Genomic DNA, 18,217 nt, shown 5'->3' on the forward strand with positions numbered 1-18,217 from the left:
GACGGAGTCTCGCTCTGTCGCCCAGGCTGGACTGCGGACTGCAGTGGCGCAATCTCGGCTCACTGCAAGCTCCGCTTCCCGGGTTCACGCCATTCTCCTGCCTCAGCCTCCCAAATAGCTGGGACTACAGGTGCCCGCCACCACGCCCGGCTAATTTTTTGTATTTTTAGTAGAGACGGGGTTTCACCTTGTTAGCCAGGATGGTCTTGATCTCCTGACCTCATGATCCACCCGCCTTGGCCTCCCAAAGTGCTGGGATTACAGGCGTGAGCCACCGCGCCCGGCCTTCTTTCTGTATTTTTAATTTTCTTTCAATAAGCAAAATAATTATTAAATGTTTCCCAGATGGTTGAAACGTGTGAATTATCTCAGTGTAGTAAACAGTAAGAAGCAAAAAAGACTGAGAATGTGTAAAAGAAGACATTGGTAATTTTGAAAGTTATGTTTTAATGCAATTTAAAGACTTCATGATTATACTAATAGTTTGGTTTAGTGTTTTATTAATTATTTTAGTTTTAATTTTAAAAATCAAAGAATTTAAAACAACACTGTTTGAATCAATACTTTCTAAACTTGAATGACGGTATTTATTTGCTTTAAACTGAACTACAAAGGTGACTTTTTTAATTCTGAAAATATAATGGTGCAGGAGAGGAAATACATTCCAAGTGAACACATGCAAATTTACTAATTATTATTTGTTTAGACATAAATTAAAAGGTGGGCTCTTAAAGTCAAGTTTAAAGGGCTTCTTGACATTGTAAAAATCTGTCTTCTACATTTCCCGTATCCCTTCACTGTGATTCTTACAACTAGTTTAAACCAAAATTCCTAGATCAAAGTCATTTTGTACATGAAAAATAGAGTAACTTTGTCTTCTCAGGAGCCTTTATTTTCATATGGCTTATTCACTTAACAAAAACACTTGTCTAGGCCCCTAAAGTCATAGTCCTAGTTTAAAAAAAAAAAAAAAAAAAAAAAAAAAAAAAACAACAAGGTGCTCTGATCATTGGAAATGGTTGGGATAAGTTAACTTGAAAAGACGGATGCTTTTGGTAAGACACAATGCTATAAATGGCACCATAACACACATATGTCTCTACAAATAGCCTCATAAATTCTGTGCAAACTGAAAATATATAAGCCCATAATATTTCTCATAAGACAGCACCCTGTCTCTTGAAAGAGTCACCTAACCTTTTAAAATTTTCATTTTAAAAATATTTCAAACATAAAGACAGTAAGAGTGGAATAAACTCCTATATAACCATCACCTAGATTCATCAGTTGTTAGCATTTTAACACATCTGCATTATCATTCTCTCTCTCCATTTATATACACATTTTTTGCTGAACTTTTCTAGATTAAGTTGGAGATATTATGACCTTCTGCCTGAAATACTTCAGTGTATATCTCCTAAGAACAAAAAATTTTCTTATATAGCTCCAATTATTAAACTCATGAAATCTAACACTGATATAATGCCATTATCATATAGAAAGAGACTATATTCATATTTCCCCAATTGTCTAATAATGGCTTCTAAAGCAAAATTTTTCCCTGACATTTGCATTTTGTCCATGATCACACATTGGCATTAGTGGTAATGTTTCTTTAGTATCCTTTAATCTGGATCAGTTGCTCAGACTTTCTTTGTCTTCCAAGACATTTTTGAATAGTACAAACCAGTGACTTTGTAAGTTGTAAAAAGTCCTTCATTTGGTATGTCGTTGTTTCCTTAAGCAAATGTTCTGAATGTCAAATTTAATGTGTGCACACACATGTGTGTGTGTGTGCACACACGTTGAGAGCCATAAATAAACTGAGAAGTTTGCCAAGCATCAGTACTTCCAAGTTCCTTATCTGAAATCTGAATAAATCTAAGGGAAGGTTCAGCTGACATTTTTTCTTCAAATGAATAATGTATCCCCTTGACATTGTTCCAGGATGTTAAGTCAAAGCAAGGTAACAGAACAGAACACTAAATCTATGTACAACCCTGTGCTAAGTAATAGATCACCCAATACAGCTAATACTCAGTTCAAATGTTGTGTTCATGTCCATCACTCAACAAAAGTCTTAAGATTTTCAGGAATGAAGCTAGAGTTTAAGTACACTTAATGAAAATGAGAGCTACAAATGCCTTCCTTGTCCATTGTCGAGACCATGACTAAACTGGGTAAGTTTACTGATCAACACTTTTCCTATCCAGACAACCAAGTTCAAGACAAACAGAAATAAAGACCAAAGCCTGTTCATTTCTAGATTCACCTCATCTAAAAAACCTCTTCCTAACTAAACTCATTCCACAATTATTTTCCTTTTGTTTTATACTTCACAAATACACAGAGATACCAAAGTAGCAGAGAAATAATTTATTCGTAATTCTTAATAAAAAGAAAGGTACTAAATTCAGTTAAATTTGTTGTCTCTGCAAATGCTGGGCAAAGAGCCCATGAACAAATACATGCCTTATTTGGAAAATCTATCACAAAGATAGGAATAAGAAAAGGTATCTGTTGGGCCTTATTATTCCCTTCTGGGGACCCTGCCTATATCAATAAATTAGAACATGACTATGTTACACAAAATACTACCCTATAATTGAATCTGTTAGATAGAGACTTTACCTTTTGTGGTCTCAACAAGTGCTAGTCAAAGTGTGGTATGTGAACCAGTGCCATGAAGTCAAAAGAGGAACTGAGAATAAATATTTAGAAACTGAGCAACTTCACAAAATAATCTTATATCTTATTAATCTAATAATATAAAACAGGGAGTTTGTTTTAAATCACTTTTTAAAATTTCATTTTTCTAGTAATTCATTTTTATTGTATTTAATAAAAGCATCTGTACCCGAAGGATTAGGAAAAAAAACACAACTGGCCCTTTACCACAGACAATGTGAGGATGACTCTATACCACACTGTCATACAGCAGGAGGCTAAGTACGTTCACGGCTTCCGCATTCATACTCTCCTAAAACAGAACCTACTCCACAAAGCAGAAGCTGAGTAATGGCATAATAAATGAATTAAATGACTAATAAAACTTGAAAAAAAAATAGCTAAGAATTTTTATCACTAATTGAAAAGTAATGTGATTAATTACTGTGCTATATCATTTATATATATAATGGATTATATATATTATTATTGACTATTATAGGTAAATATCTGATTTTTCTCCTCTCACAGGAATGAGGTAAATAAAATAATATTTTGAAGGGTGTGTCTTAGAAGTACTTTTTAAAATTGCTCTTACGGTTCTTAGTAATGCATATTGTAGCAAATAAGCTGGGTTAGAAAGAAATAAATAAAATACTATTAGTCACAAATATTCACTTGCTAGTCATGGATGTCACCCAAAATAGGAATCCAGTTTGGAAACACAACCCAGATACCTGTGATATGAAAATCAAATCTCTAACAAATACAACTTACTTCCTAGCAATGGTGGTCACTCGGATGCGTCTCTGCCCACTTGAATGCTGATACTGAGTCACAAACTGGATTGCACCACGCCCTCCTTGAGGAATTGGAGCATTATGCTGTATAAATATAATGGAGTAAAACCTAAGCAAAATTTACTATGCTGTTGTCATATAATCACAGGCTACATGTCCTAGCACTAAAAATAATTCATTCTAAAATTGATTAGAAGGATACTTATTTCCAGTGCATTCAAAACAGTTATAATTTGTTACACAGAAGAGGAGAAATTAATTTGGAGAGGAGGAAAATAATCAAGAATGATAGAAGTCAGTCCTGCTAGGAAATCAATTTTCAAGTAATATATAAGCCAGAGGGACATGAAAGAACAAAGAAAAGGGAGAGCACAAAGAAATTAAAAGACAATTCCTAAGTGAAGCCATTTAAGCCAAACTGCACAGATTGAATATCCCTTATCCAAAATGCTTGGGACCCGAAATGTTTTGGATTTTGTATTTTTTTAAACTCAGGAATATTTGCCTTATACCAATTGAAGATCCCCAAATCCAAAAATCCAAAATCCAAAATGCTCTCCAATGAGCATTTTCTTTGAGTGTCATGTCAGCATTCAGAAAGTTCCAGATTTTGAAACATTTCAGATTTCAGATCTGAGATGTTCAACTTGTAACTAGATAAACAGAAATTGAGCTAAGTCCTCCTCCCCTAGGTATAGAAGATGAAAGCAGAACTTTTAGGAACATAATCATATGATGAACAACCAACCAATGAAAGATTAATAATGAGAAGAAACTAATAGCAATATATAATAATTATCATCAGAAAGAAATACAAGTAATCAATAGGAAAACTTTATTCCTGCATTCTGACAACAGACATTCTTGCTTTGTTTTTGTGTGTTGTTTTGTTTTTGTCAATAAGAGTCAATATATTTCTTATAAATTTTAATGTTTAAAAAAAAACTATTGCACCTGCCTTAGGAAAGCTGACTGTTAATATTTTGTGGTTCATTTTATGGCTAAAAACTATTAATATATAAGTCAGTAATTTGTGTTATTCTTCAATGTGATTAATTATCTCCTGTGGCAGAAAAAAAAATCTTCCCAAATACGATTACTTTCCAAACTTTTTCTATGGATTTTGACATATTAGACCTTCTTGTACAAAGACTCATATGTCATATATACTTTCTGACAACTAGGAAAAGCTAGACATCTAATTGCAAAAATGTGTAGCTAGAAGGGAATTTTAAATAACTGCATTTATCCTTCAATTTTATATTCAAAAAAAAGAAAGAAAGAAAACAGACTAAAAGTTGGGCTACCCAAGGTTTGGCGTTTGTAGGTTTCCCTGCATTTCTATTACAATATGTACTCTCACCAAGGAGTTTAGCCTTGAAAAATAAAAAACGACAAATATAAATTCCAATACAGAAAATAAATGTTGGGTTATATCTACTATAGGAAAAAAAATATGAACTATTCATGGCCTAAAGTAAGTACTTATTCAAATGTACGTTGTACGTTTTGATATTCAGATGTAGAAAGTCATACCTGATTGACAACCTCAAAATATATGGCTAAGGTTGTAGTGGGACTAAGTCCACATATCTTCCACTGACATGTGCCACCTGTTCCTATCTCCTGTAAAAATAAAATATAGCATGTTTGAAAGCTAGAGACACAATTTATTAATTTTATATTAAAGTGAAAATGGAAAAAGACCACAGGAAAAAAAAAAGTCATGTTTCAAACTAATTCAACAATGTTAAGAGCTTAAAATATTTTAAGACCATAAGTATATTATAAAATAAAGCATTTTTACATAATAAAAAATAAAATAATTTTTACATAATAAAAGTAAAATTTAAATTCTTGCTAAGTAAATTACAAAAGTATTAATATAAGTTCTTCATACTGTTCTCTTTAAAAGCATATGCTATTTGGCCAGGGGCGGTGGCTCCCACCTGTAATCCCAGTACTTTGGGAGGCTGAGGCGGGCAGATCACAAGGTCAGGAGATGGAGACCATCCTGGCTAACACGGTGAAACCCCATCTCTACTAAAAACACAAAAAATCAGCCAGGCATGCTGGCGGACGCCTGTAGTCCCAGCTATTTGGAAGGCTGAGGCAGGAGAATGGCGTGAACCTAGGAGGCGGAGCTTGCAGTGAGCCGAGAAGGCGCCACTGCACTCCAACCTGCGAGGCAAAGCGAGACTCCGTCTCAAAAAAAATAAAATAAAAAATAAAAGTATATGCTATTTAATGAAGTAATTGCAACTAACATTATCCTTCTATCCAACTACTTGATCTGTATAAAGAGAAACTGATTTAACATATAATATATGCATTTACGAACACATGTTCTCTGGATGAGAATTGTTAAGCACTCTGATTCCCAAGAAAACGTCATAGATATAGACAGACCTTTACCACGCAAACTGCTTGTACATATTAATTTTTTAGCTTTGTCATTTTTAAAGTTGATTACCCACTTTGTATTATTTGTCCCATCATCCTCTCCACAGCTACATGATTCTACCATTTTAGAGTACGTTATACTTCCATTAAATTGGATAAAAAGAACATAAAGAACTGAAATTCCAAATCTGGCTAATTTGGTTACTTTTTTGAAAATTCTGGTATCAAAAATCAATTTAGAGCTAATTTTGACTTTCAGAAGTCTCCAAATTTCCAAATCATGAGTTTTTTTTGTTTTTGTTTTTTTTTAGGCACACTGGGGCAAGACATAATTTAGGCATAAAAAATAGAAGACTGGTGACAGTACAAAAGTTTTAATTAGGGATGGATGGGAAAAGGGTATGCAGAAAGAGCAACCATGAATAGAGGTATACCAATGGGAGCTGAACTACCTAAAACAATCAATATAAGAATTTTGAAAGGAATGCTATAGGCTGCCACCCCAAGTTTTTATTGGTGCTGTCCTGTGCGTTCGCTGTGTCTTTTTTTCTTTTTTGGGGGGATAACAGGAGGGGAACAGGGTCTCTCTATGTTGCCTGAGCTGGTCTCTAACTCCTGGGCTTAAGCAATCCTCCTGCCTCAGCTTCCCAAGTACCTGGGATTACAGGTGCAAGCCACAGTTCCTGGTCCTGTATTTTCTTTTTAGAATAAACACAACTTACATTTTCAGACACACAGGGTCCTTTAGAATTGAGTGACACACAGGGTCCAATAGCTCCTGAAATCTTTATTTCCCTTGAGGTCTGCAAAATAAGAATACAGCATGTTCGGTTTCCTCAAAGATACGTTCAAATGTTCAACTACAGGTGTATAAGAATATAAGATATTCATCTATATTTAAAACTCAAAGCCAATGAAAATATACTAACATGAAAAATAATCAATCAATAAGCACTTCTATGCTCACTGTCAAATTTAAAATCTGGCACCAACCTAATGTTAACCTTCTATTTCCATTAGCACATACGAGGTCTCCATTTGGGAACCTCATCCTGACTTCACACTTCTACCTACCCACCCAAAATTCACATATCCTAATCTAAAACCTTAGACACCCTATTCTATTTTTCCTCCCATAGAAAATCTGTCACCAAGATTGGTCTCCCCCCAGTCTCTCCTGCCACCAAAATGTAAGCTATCACAATACCTTCTGTCTAAAAAAAAAAAAATTGGAAAGCTTACTTTTGTTTTCTTACTTGAGATTCTTTTTCCTGACATATGCAGAATACCACTGTCAGATGAATCTTACCCAAAATACCTAATGACTTCTGCCTACACATGTGTCTCCACACTACAGCCAGCTCCCACAGATTTAAGCTATTTCCTTTCATTCAAATACAAAGCATCTACTCTCACTGGGCAGTTTTCTCAAACATACAATGCTGATTCTCACCTCTATGCCTCTCCTCACACTGGGTTCCTGAATAAAATGCAATATCCTCTAACATCTTTAAGAAAACAACTGTGGCCAGGCGCGGTAGCTCACGCCTGTAATCCCAACACTTTGAGAGGCTGAGGCAGGTGGATCACCCAAGGTCGGGAGTTCAAGACCAGCCTGACCAACATGGAGAAACCCCATCTCTACTAAAAACACAAAATTAGCTGGGCATGGTGGCACATGCCTGTAATCCCAGCTACTCGGGAGGGTGAGGCAGGAGAATTGCTTGAACCCAGGAGGCAGAGGTTATAGTGAGCTGAGATCATGACATTGCACTCCAGCCGGGCAATAAGAGCGAAACTCCATCTCAAAAAAAAAAAAAAAAAAAAAAAAAAAAAAAAAAAACTATAAGTCACACTCCTCTAGAAGTCTAGAATAAATTGTGTCCTATATATGTTCATTTTTCTTCTCTAAACCTTTATAGTGTTTTTATAATTTACCATTATGTCATTCTATTACATGCAGTGTTTTCTTTCCCTGCCTCTCTATCAAGAGAATGCTAAGTTTCTCTATAGCAAGACGTGTACCTTAGATATCCCTAGGCATCTCTGTAATTTCCCAAGCAATGTTGGGCATATAGCAAGCATTCAATAAAACAAGATTAATAAATATTTAATGAAAATTCAAAATTAATGTGCTTAGAGTTAATTTAATAAGAATCAATTAGGATTAGAAGCACTTAGCCTTTGGGTATTTTAAATCCAAATTTGAAATAAATGATAGAATTATGCAATAACAACTAATCATAAAACAATTACTGATTATCCGAAAGGTAAAAAACAGTTTCCTCTTTTTTTTTTTTAAAAAAAACAGTTTCCTCTTAAGTTAGATAACAATTCCTATCATTAACCTAGCACTAACATAAATAGATTTGGCTCTACAAATGATAGAACAGGCCAGACGTGGTGGCTCATGTCTGTAATCTCAGCACTTTGGAAAGCTGAGACAGGCAGATCACCTGAGGTCAGGAGTTCGAGACCAGCCTGGCCAACATGGTGACACTGCGTCTCTACTAAAAACACAAATTAGACAGACACAGTGGCACACACCTGTAGTCCCAGCTACTCAGGAGGCTGAGGCTGGAGAATCACTTGAACCCAGGAGGCGGAGGCTGCAGTGAGACAACATCATGCCACTGCACTCTAGCCTGGGCGACAGAGGAAGACTCTGTCTCAAAAAAAAGAAGATAAAACATACTTTAAAGAGCTAAGCCCTATATAAAGAAAAAAATTAAAAAGTTAAAGAATATTTTACCAATATTGTTCTACTTTTCTAACAATTGTTCAGAAATGCTCAAGTAAAGTCTCACACATTGAATGATGACACTCTTCTGGTGAAGAAAATCTCTAACTCAGGTTTCAATATAAAATAACCACAATTTTGAAAGTAAATATTAAATTTGATTAATGGCATTTTAGAATTACACTCAAGCCTATAAGTTGTCTTTTGATAACATATCGCACATGTCAAGTTTTGGTTCTTACCTTTATTTCTAGCGTACCACCAAAGCCCATTTTAAACTGTCCATGCATGTCTTTGGTAAAGACTCTTTGAAAAGTTTGTTTGAATAAGGAAGTATTGAAAGAATCACCCATTACCATGTATCCTCTGCATGGAAAGAACAAAAAAACAACATACTTGACACAGTTACTGAGTCCGTGTGTTAAAATCGTAGAAGAAAATTACCTCTCAAAACTACCAATAAATTTTAAAGATATTTCCCAAAATGTGCTGTATTACTAATTTTTAATATTCAAATATATATGAGAATATCCTCACCCCACAAATAATCTCAATTCCGAAGGTAACAGAGTACCCCTAACAGTTGCATTTGTCCTTGGTAATTTAAAAAAAAATTCTTCTTTAAATAGGCAATATATCCACCATATTACAAAATTCAAAAGGTACAGAAGAGTATATAGTAACAAATGTTCTCCATATTGGTAAAGGTACCTGACAGTTTCCAGCATGCATTCTCTTTTTTTTTTTTTTTTTTTTTTCAGACAGGGTCTCACTCTGTTGCCTAGGCTGGAGTGCAGTGGAACAATCACGGCTCACTGCAGCCACAACCTCCTGGGCTCAAGTCATCCTCCTACCTCAGCCTCCCAAGTAGCTGGACTACAGGTTGCACCAACACGCCCAGCTAATTTTTTTGTTTTTTTGTAGAGATAGGGTTTTGCCATGTTGCCCAGGTTGGTCTTGAACTTCTGGGCTCAAACAATATGCTCACCTCGGGCTGCCAAGGTGCTGGGATTACAGGCATGAGCCACCCACCTGGCCCATTCTCACTCTTAAAAACAAGTATGTGTGTGTATGTATATGCATGTACTATCTGTGTCACATGAAATATACATGTTATACCAAGCAAATGAGAATGGAAGAAAATTGAGAGTATTTTCACTTTTTGCACTTATTTTTAATTTTTTTAATAAGCATATACCTACTTTTTTAATTAAAAAAATTTTAATATTAACTTGAAAGTTAAAAACTATTTTGATACCATTCCTTCTCTAATAGATTGGCAAAAATCAGTTTGACAGCAACATATTATGTTGGTGAGGCTATGGAAAAACAGGCACTCTCATACACTTCTGCTGGGACTGCAAAATGGTACAACCCCAGTACAGAGTAACTTGATAATATCTAACAAAATTATATATGGATTTCCTCCTTAATCCAGCCACCCCACTAATAGTAATCTATTCCAAAGATACTCTAACAAAACAAAAACAGAAAAACAAAATATATTCACAAGGTTATTCGCTGAAGCACTATTTGTAACAACAAAAGTTTTTTTCCTTTTTCCCTTGTGTTTGAAATACTGTATTTCAAACACAAACTCAGAATAACAGAAAACTGAAAACAATCCAAATAATCATGTAATTAGAGACTAGTTGAAAAAATATTACATCCACACAATGGAGTAATACACTGCTACAGACTGATTTCTAGGATACAAGTGAAAAACACAAAGAGAGGAAAGATGTATAAAATATTGTTTATATGATACACATGCATACAAATATTTAGATACACTTGCTCACATTTTTAAAATATTTTAAGTATTAAACATCAATAAAAGATACAATCAAAAATTAAAATAGGCAAAAGAATAAAACTGATGTGTTATAACTAATTGACCATAATTTTACTTTTGATATTATTAGAAGTTTTTGTTATCTCTGATGCTTATTAGAAATTGTATCCTTTTAAATTTTTTAATGTTACTGGTACATAAATTTATAATTAAACTTTGTACACTGACCTTGATCCAGAAGTCTTGCCAACTTCACATATTAATACCAATAGTTTATAAATTCTTTCAGATTTTCTACAAACATGTTATCTATGATGATCTAAGTCATCATTATACCTGATAATACATCCTAGATTAATGACAATTTATACCACCCCATTTCTCTGCTCCCTTTTACAGTAAACCTCTATGAAGGAATTGTCCACACCCTTACATCTATTTTCCAAATATATCCAAAATCCAACTACTTCCCACCATCTGTGCTACCATCACTTGGTATTCTTACATCCCTATACTCTACAAATGACAAATGAATTCAGCGATCCTTTTAAACTATTAAGTCAGATCATAAAACTCCTCTGTTGAAAACTCTCCAACGCCTTCCCATCTCACTCAAGGTAAAGTCCAAAGCCCTTTAAAAAGGTAAACGGACTTTGTAACCTACCCTCCTCACTCACTCCATTCCAGCTACTTTGTTCTCCTTGCTATTTCTCAACATCACAGGTACATTCTCTTTATTATTATTATTTTTTGAGCCCAGGTCTCACTCTGTCACCCAGGCTGGAGTGCAGTGATGCGATCATGGCTCACCACAGCCTCGACTTCCCAAGCTCCAGCAATCCTCCCACCTCAGCCTCCCAAGTAGCTGGGACCACAGGCGCACACCACCATGCCCAGCCAATTTTTGTATTTTTGGTAGAGACAGGGTTTCACCATGTTGCCCAGACTGGTCTCAAACTCCTGAGCTCAAGCAGTCCACCCACCTCAGCCTCCCAAAGTGCTAGGATTACACAGGTGTGAGCCACAGCGCCTGGCCCCAGGTACATTCTCAACTTTGTACTTGCTATTCCTCACTTGGAACACTCTTACTTCATATATGCACATGGCTCACTCTCACTTGCTTACATCTTTGCTAAAATATCACCTTCAATAAGGCTCTGCCTATTCATCCTATTTAGAACTGCAAACCCCAATTCTTCTTTCCTGAACTTTTTTCTTCCCAATGCTATCACCATCTGACATCCTATCTACCATACTTATCCTATCTCCTCTCATTAGAACTGTACTAACATGTGGCTAGTTAAATTTAAATGTAAAGCAATTAAAATTAAATTTTAGTTCCTCAGTCATACTTGCCACATTTCAATGGGACAGCACAAAGAATATATCCATTGCGAAATTATACGGAAGAGCCCTGCGCTAGAAGATAAGCTCCATGCGGGCAAAGATTTTTACGTTTAGTTCACTGCTTTACTTGCAGTGCCTTGAGCAGTTGGCTACATAGCAGGTGCTCATTCATATTTATTAGATGAATGAATTAAATAAATAAACCTGAGAAAGTGTTGACATATCTAATTGATTTTTAAGCCTAATTAAATTATTTCAAAAATAATAACTGCTCATGGAAGAGGAAAGAACACATCCCAGGTCATTCTGTGACGACAGTTACCCTGATGCCAACACCAAACAAAAGAAAACTACAGGCCAGTATCTCCTATGAAGACAGATGCAAAAATCCTCAACAAAATGACAGCAAATTGAATTTAGCAATAATAAAAAGGATTATACGCCATGACCAAGTGAGATTCATCCCAGAAATGCAAGGTAGGTTTAAAATCCAAAAATCAGTGCAATATACCATATTAATAAGGACAAAAGTCACATGATCATATCAATAGCTATAGAAACAGCATTTAACAAAATCCCAAAAACACATTTTCATGAGAGTTTTTGGAAGGGAACTTATTCAATCTGATGAAATCCACAGCTAATATCTTCTAATGGTAGAAGACTAAACAGGGCTGGACACGGTAGCTCATGCCTATAATCCCAGCACTTTGGGAGGCCATGGCAGGTGGATCACCTGAGGTCAGGAGTCCGAGACTAGCCTGACCAACATGGTGAAACCCCGTCTCTACTAAAAATACAAAAATTAGCTGGACGTAGTGGCGCATGCCTGTAGTCCCAGCTACTCAGGAGGCTGAGGCAGCAGAATCACTTGAACCCAGGGGGCGGAGGTTGCAGTGAGCCGAGATCGTGCCACTGCACTCCAGCTTGGGCAACAAGAGGGAAACTCCATCTCAAAAAAAGAAAAAAAAAAGACTAAACGACTTACCCCGAAGATCAAGAACAACACAAGGATATTCACTCTCACATTTTTAATCCTGTACTGGACATTCCAGCCAGGGCAATTAGGCAAGGAAAAGAAAAAGCATGCAGGTGGGAAGGAAGAAGTAAAACAATACCAATTTGCAGATGGCATGATGTTATATAGGGAAAATCCTAAGAAGTCCACAGAAAAACTATTAAAACTAATAAACAAGTTCCACAAGGTTGCAGGGGGTAAAATCAACATATAAAAATCAATTGTTGGACGGGCACAGTGGCTCATGCCTGTAATCCCAGCTCTCTTTGGTAGGCCAAGACGGGCAGATAACTTGAAATAAATATGAAAATTAGCCAGGCATGGTGCTACATGCCTGTAATCCAGATACCTGGAAGGCTGAGGCACAAGAATCTGCTGAACCTGGGAGGCAGAGGTTGCAGTGAGCTGAGATCGCACCACTGCACTCCAGCCTGGGCAACACAGTGAGACTCTGTCTCAAAATTTAAAAATTAAAAAATTTTTTAAAATCAAGGCTGGGCACGGTGGCTCAGGCCTGTAATCCTAGCACTTTCGGAGGCCGAGGAAGGCAGATCACAAGGACAGGAGTTCAAGACCAGCCTGGCCAACATGGTGAAACCCAGTCTCTACTAAAAATACAAAAACAAATTAGTTGGGCGTGGTGGCAGGCGCTTGTAGTCCCAGCTACTTGGGCTGAGGCAGGAGAATCGCTTGAACCTGGGAGGAAGAAGTTGCAGTGAACCGAGATCACGCCACTGCACTCCAGCCTGGGTGACAGAGCGACTCCGTCTCAAAATAAAAAAGAAAGAAAAAGCATGAAATAGGTTTCATCAAAATTTAAAACTTTTGTGCTGCAAACAATACCATCAAGAATGTGAGGGAGGCCGGGCGGGGTGGCTCACACCTGTAATCCCAGAATTTTAGGAGGCCGAGGTGGGTGGATCTCTTGAGATCAGGAATTCGAGACCAGCCTGGCCAACATAATGAAACCCTGTCTCTACTAAAAATACAAAATAGTCGGGTGTGGTGGTGCACACCTGTAATTCCAGCTACTGGGGAAGCTAAGATAGGAGAAACACTTGAACCCAGGAGGCAGAAGTTCCAGTGAGCCTAGATCGCACCACTGCACTCTTGCCTGGGTGACAAAGTGAGACTCTGTCTCAAAAAAAAAAAAGTGAGGGAAAAAACCCATAAGAGAAAATATCTGTAAGTCATATATCTGATAAAGGGATTTATATCCAAATAACAAACTATTTTAACTCAATAAAAAGAAAATCAATAGCCCAAATTAAAAATGGGTAAAGAATCTGAATAGACATTTCTCCAAAGATATACACATGGCCAGTAAGCACATAAAAAGATGCTCAACATCATTAGTCTTCAGGGAAATGCAAATGAAAACCACAATGAGATATTACTTCACACCCACTAGGACAGATATCATCAAAAAGACAGACAATAAGCTGGGCACGGTGGCTCACACCTGTAATCCCAGCACTTTGAGAGGCAGAGGCAGGAGGATCGAGCCCAGGAGTTCGAGACCAGCCTGGGCAACAAAGTGAGACCTCGTCTCCACAAAAAAAAAGTATTAATAATTAGCTAGGTGTGGTAGCATGTGCCTGTAGTCCCAGCTACTCAGGAGGCTGAGGTGAGAGGATTGCTTGAGCCCTGGACATTGTGGCTACAGTGAGCTATGACTGCACCCCGCACTCCAGCCTCAGTAACAGAGAAAGACCCCATCTAAAAAAAATTAATTAAAATACAGACAACGACAAGTGCTGACAAAGATGTGGAGAAACTGGAATCCTCATACTTTGGTAATGGGAATTTAAATTGGTACAGTTACTTGGGAAAATCGTTAGACAGTTCCTCAAAATGTTAAGGACAGATTACTATGTGATGCAACAATTCTGCTCCTAGATATATACCTAAGAGAAACAAAAACATAATCTCCACACCAAAACTTGAACACGATGTTCAAAGGACCATTATTCACAGTAGCCAAAAAGTGGAAATGAAATGTTCATTAACTGATGGATTCCTAAACAAAATGTGGTGTATCCATCAAATGGAATACTATTAAATGCACTTTAGCCCCTTGTTCCCTTTTTACTCAGCAGTAAAAATAAAATAAAATAAAATAAAATATTAGTACATTCTACAGTCTGGATGAACCTTGAAAACATTATGCTGAGTAAAAGAAACCAATCACAAGAGACCATTTGATTCCCTTCTTTTTGAAACAGAGTCTCACTCTGTGGCCCAGGCTGGAGTGCAGTGGCACAATCTTCTTGGCTCACTGAAACCTCCACCTCCAGGTTCAAGTGATTCTCCTGCCTCAGCCTCCTGAGTAGCTGGGATTACAGCCACGTGCCACCACGCCCAGCTAATTTTTATGTTTTTTAGTAGAGACAGGGTTTCACCATGTTGGCCAGGCTGGTCTTGAACTCCTGACTTCAGATAATCCTCCCACCTCGGCTTCTCAAAGTGCTAGGATTACAGTTGGGAGCCACGGTGCCCGGCTCTGATTCCTCTTTTTTTTTTTTTTTTTTTTTTTTGAGACGGAGTCTAACTCTATCGCCAAGGCTGGAGTGCAGTGGCATGATCTCAGCTCACTGCAACCTCTGCCACCCGGGTTCAAGCAATTCTCCTGCCTCAGCCTACCGAGTAGCTGGGATTACAGGTGCCTGCCACCACGCCCACCTAATTTTTGTATTTTTAGTAGAGACAGGGTTTCACCATCTTGGCCAGGCTTGTCTTGAACTCCTGACCTCATGATCTACCTGCCTTAGCCTCCCAAAGTGCTGGGATTACAAGCGTGAGCCACCACACCCAGCCTCTGATTTCATTTTATAAAATACCCAGAACAGGCAATTATCAGCTGTCTAAGGATGAGAGGGTGGTGAGAAGAAAAAGGAGGGAATAATGGGAAGTAACTGCTAATGGGAACATAGTTTCTAGGGTAATGCAAATGTTCTAAACAAATTACGGTGATGGCTGTGCATCCTGTAAATATACTAAAAGCATCAAACTGTACATTTTAAATGGTAAGTTTATGGTATGTGAATTTTATCTCAAAAATGCTGTTGAAGTAATAAATCAAAATAATGACTTCAAGATATCAAAGTGAGCTTTAGAAACAGGGTTGGACCTTTATAACTCCATATTTTTAAACAAATTCAAAAGTGTGTTTTACTGAAAGGAATATCAAAAACTACTAACAGATGTGTTGCCTTGAAGTAGTGGGAAGATGACACTTTTCCCTAAATGGTCATTATTGGTTTATATCAGTAAATGTCATCATTTGCTTATAATTACAAAAACTGTAAAAATTTAAATACATACCCAGTAAGGTTGGGACAGCATTTCATCTCCAGGAGACCTGTCTGATCTAATGCACACGCATAGATATCAATAACATGGCCAGTTGTAGCAGCTCGATTAGCCAATGCTTCAAAATGCTACAAAAGATTTTCTTAATTAAAATAATATACAAAATTGTCCTATAAATCTTTTTTCCATTAACAGATCAAAATGATCTAAGGACTAAAAGAGTAACTCATAATTTAAATTATGATTAGTTATTTAACTTTCTGTAATGTTAATAAAATTATACAACAACTTCTGTGAGTCTGACATTTTCACATTTTCCTTGAAAGCCACTCTTTCTAGATAAACCCCTAAATGAAGCCAAACTTAAAGAAAGTCCTATTGCATATCTTGTTCTTCCTATATAAACATAGCACAAAAACAACAGGCTGGGCGTGGTGGCTCACGCCTGTAATCCCAGCATTTTGGGAGGCCGAGGCAGGCAGATCATGAGGTCAGGAGATCGAGACCATCCTGGCAAACACGGTGAAACCCCGTCTCTACTAAAAATATAAAAAATTAGCCGGGCGTGGTGGTGGGTGCCTGTATTCCCAGCTACTAGGGAGGCTGAGGCAGGAGAATGGCATGAACCCAAGAGATGGAGCTTACAGTGAGTGGAGATCATGCCATTGTACTCCAGTCTGGGCAACAGAGCGAGACTTTGCCTCAAAAAAAAAGAAAGAAAAACAACAGAGAACTCTCTTTCCTAGCTAAATCCATACCCAAGTAACAAAAACATCCAAAAATAGAGAAAATACAAAAAGCAGTAAGATAAATGAATCTAAAACCTTTTTTGAAGCTGTAACCAAGAAAAATTCCAAGCTCAAAAAGGAAATTAGTTGGCAGGAAAGAAAAGCACCAACAGTGGCAAAAATTATGTCATAAATTACTTTTAAACATATAATACTGATGAAGACTATCAAAAAATACATGATACAGCACAAGCCAAATTAAAACTGAACTCTAGAGAATTTAAAAATTAAGAGATATTAACAAATAGAACGAATATAAGAGAGTCAAAAATCAACATTAGTGAAATGTACTTACACAAACCCAAAAAATGGGAAGTTAGATGAACATAAAACAACTTACAAGAAAATGATGGACTATTTAAGCTATGAACAATATTCATATCTAAAGGAAAAATTAAGGACTGCCTCTTGGAAATGAAAAACTGAAAAATGTAAAAACAACTTTTCCTAAACAGAAAGGCATTCTTTAACATGAATATTTAAAAAGGCATAGAATGTTTCTCTCAGTAATAATTTTTAAGGAGATACCTACTGACACGTACTATGAAGTGTTTAAATATTTCAAACCAGAAACATTACAACAAATTATCAAGAAAAAATGAATATTTCTCCAATTCTGAATACCAGTTATAGTATCAAACTGTATAATACCAATTTCTATCAAAAACTATTTGTATTCTTCTTCTGCCAGCAAATGAATACCTGTTTTCTAATAAGGCAAAAATATTTAACAGTCAAAATTACCTTAGTTCCCTTTTTAACATATTTGGCATTGTCTTTGTCAATGTCATGCCACGATCTTATAGGTGTCTTCAACTCATCTCCAACCACCATTCCAGGCCCCTGAGTAGCAGGACCACCAATGAACATCATGATACGAGCACCAGTGTTGGGAAAAGTACACTATTAAAAAAAAAGTCAAGAGTTTAAAAGAAAACATATGAATATACATTTCTGATAATAATTTTTTATATATTCCTTCTAAATAAGAGAAAAGCATATATTTTCTAAGAAATAAAATAATCAAATGTTTACAATGAAATTTAAAAACAAAGGTATCTGAACAACTTTCTTTTAAAATCCTATGGTATATAGTAGCACATTCCTAATTCTAAACTAATCTATGAGCCTAATCCCTATAAACATGGATATTTCTCCTGCTTAACTCATCTCAGACAGGGAAGAGTGGAGAGAAAAGTGGAAGAGTGAACATCTTCTTTTGTTTTGTTTTGGGTTTTTAATTTTTTTTTTTTTTTTTTTAGAGACAAGGTCTCACCATGTTGCCAGTGCTGGACTTTAACTCCTGGGCTCAAGTGATCCTCCCACTTGAGCTTTCCAAGTAGCTGG

General features: G+C 36.5%; 1 protein-coding gene across 4 annotated transcripts in view; it reads right to left on the reverse strand.

Moving 5' to 3' along the window:
• SEC23A (SEC23 homolog A, COPII component) overlaps positions 1–18,217 on the reverse strand; it is a 71,317-nt gene that overhangs the window by 26,402 nt on the left and 26,698 nt on the right. For all 4 annotated transcript variants that reach the window (NM_006364.4, XM_005267262.2, XM_011536355.4 and 1 more), the window contains exons 8-13: positions 17,615–17,773; positions 16,095–16,210; positions 8,853–8,976; positions 6,593–6,673; positions 5,004–5,093; positions 3,445–3,551 (exon numbers count right to left, since the gene is read on the reverse strand). In NM_006364.4, the coding sequence (NP_006355.2) occupies positions 3,445–3,551; positions 5,004–5,093; positions 6,593–6,673; positions 8,853–8,976; positions 16,095–16,210; positions 17,615–17,773 (677 nt within the window). The remainder of the gene's footprint in view (positions 1–3,444; positions 3,552–5,003; positions 5,094–6,592; positions 6,674–8,852; positions 8,977–16,094; positions 16,211–17,614; positions 17,774–18,217) is intronic.

The sequence above is a fragment of the Homo sapiens genome, chromosome 14, assembly GCF_000001405.40.
Source record: "Homo sapiens chromosome 14, GRCh38.p14 Primary Assembly".
NCBI classification, from domain to species: domain Eukaryota; kingdom Metazoa; phylum Chordata; class Mammalia; order Primates; family Hominidae; genus Homo; species Homo sapiens.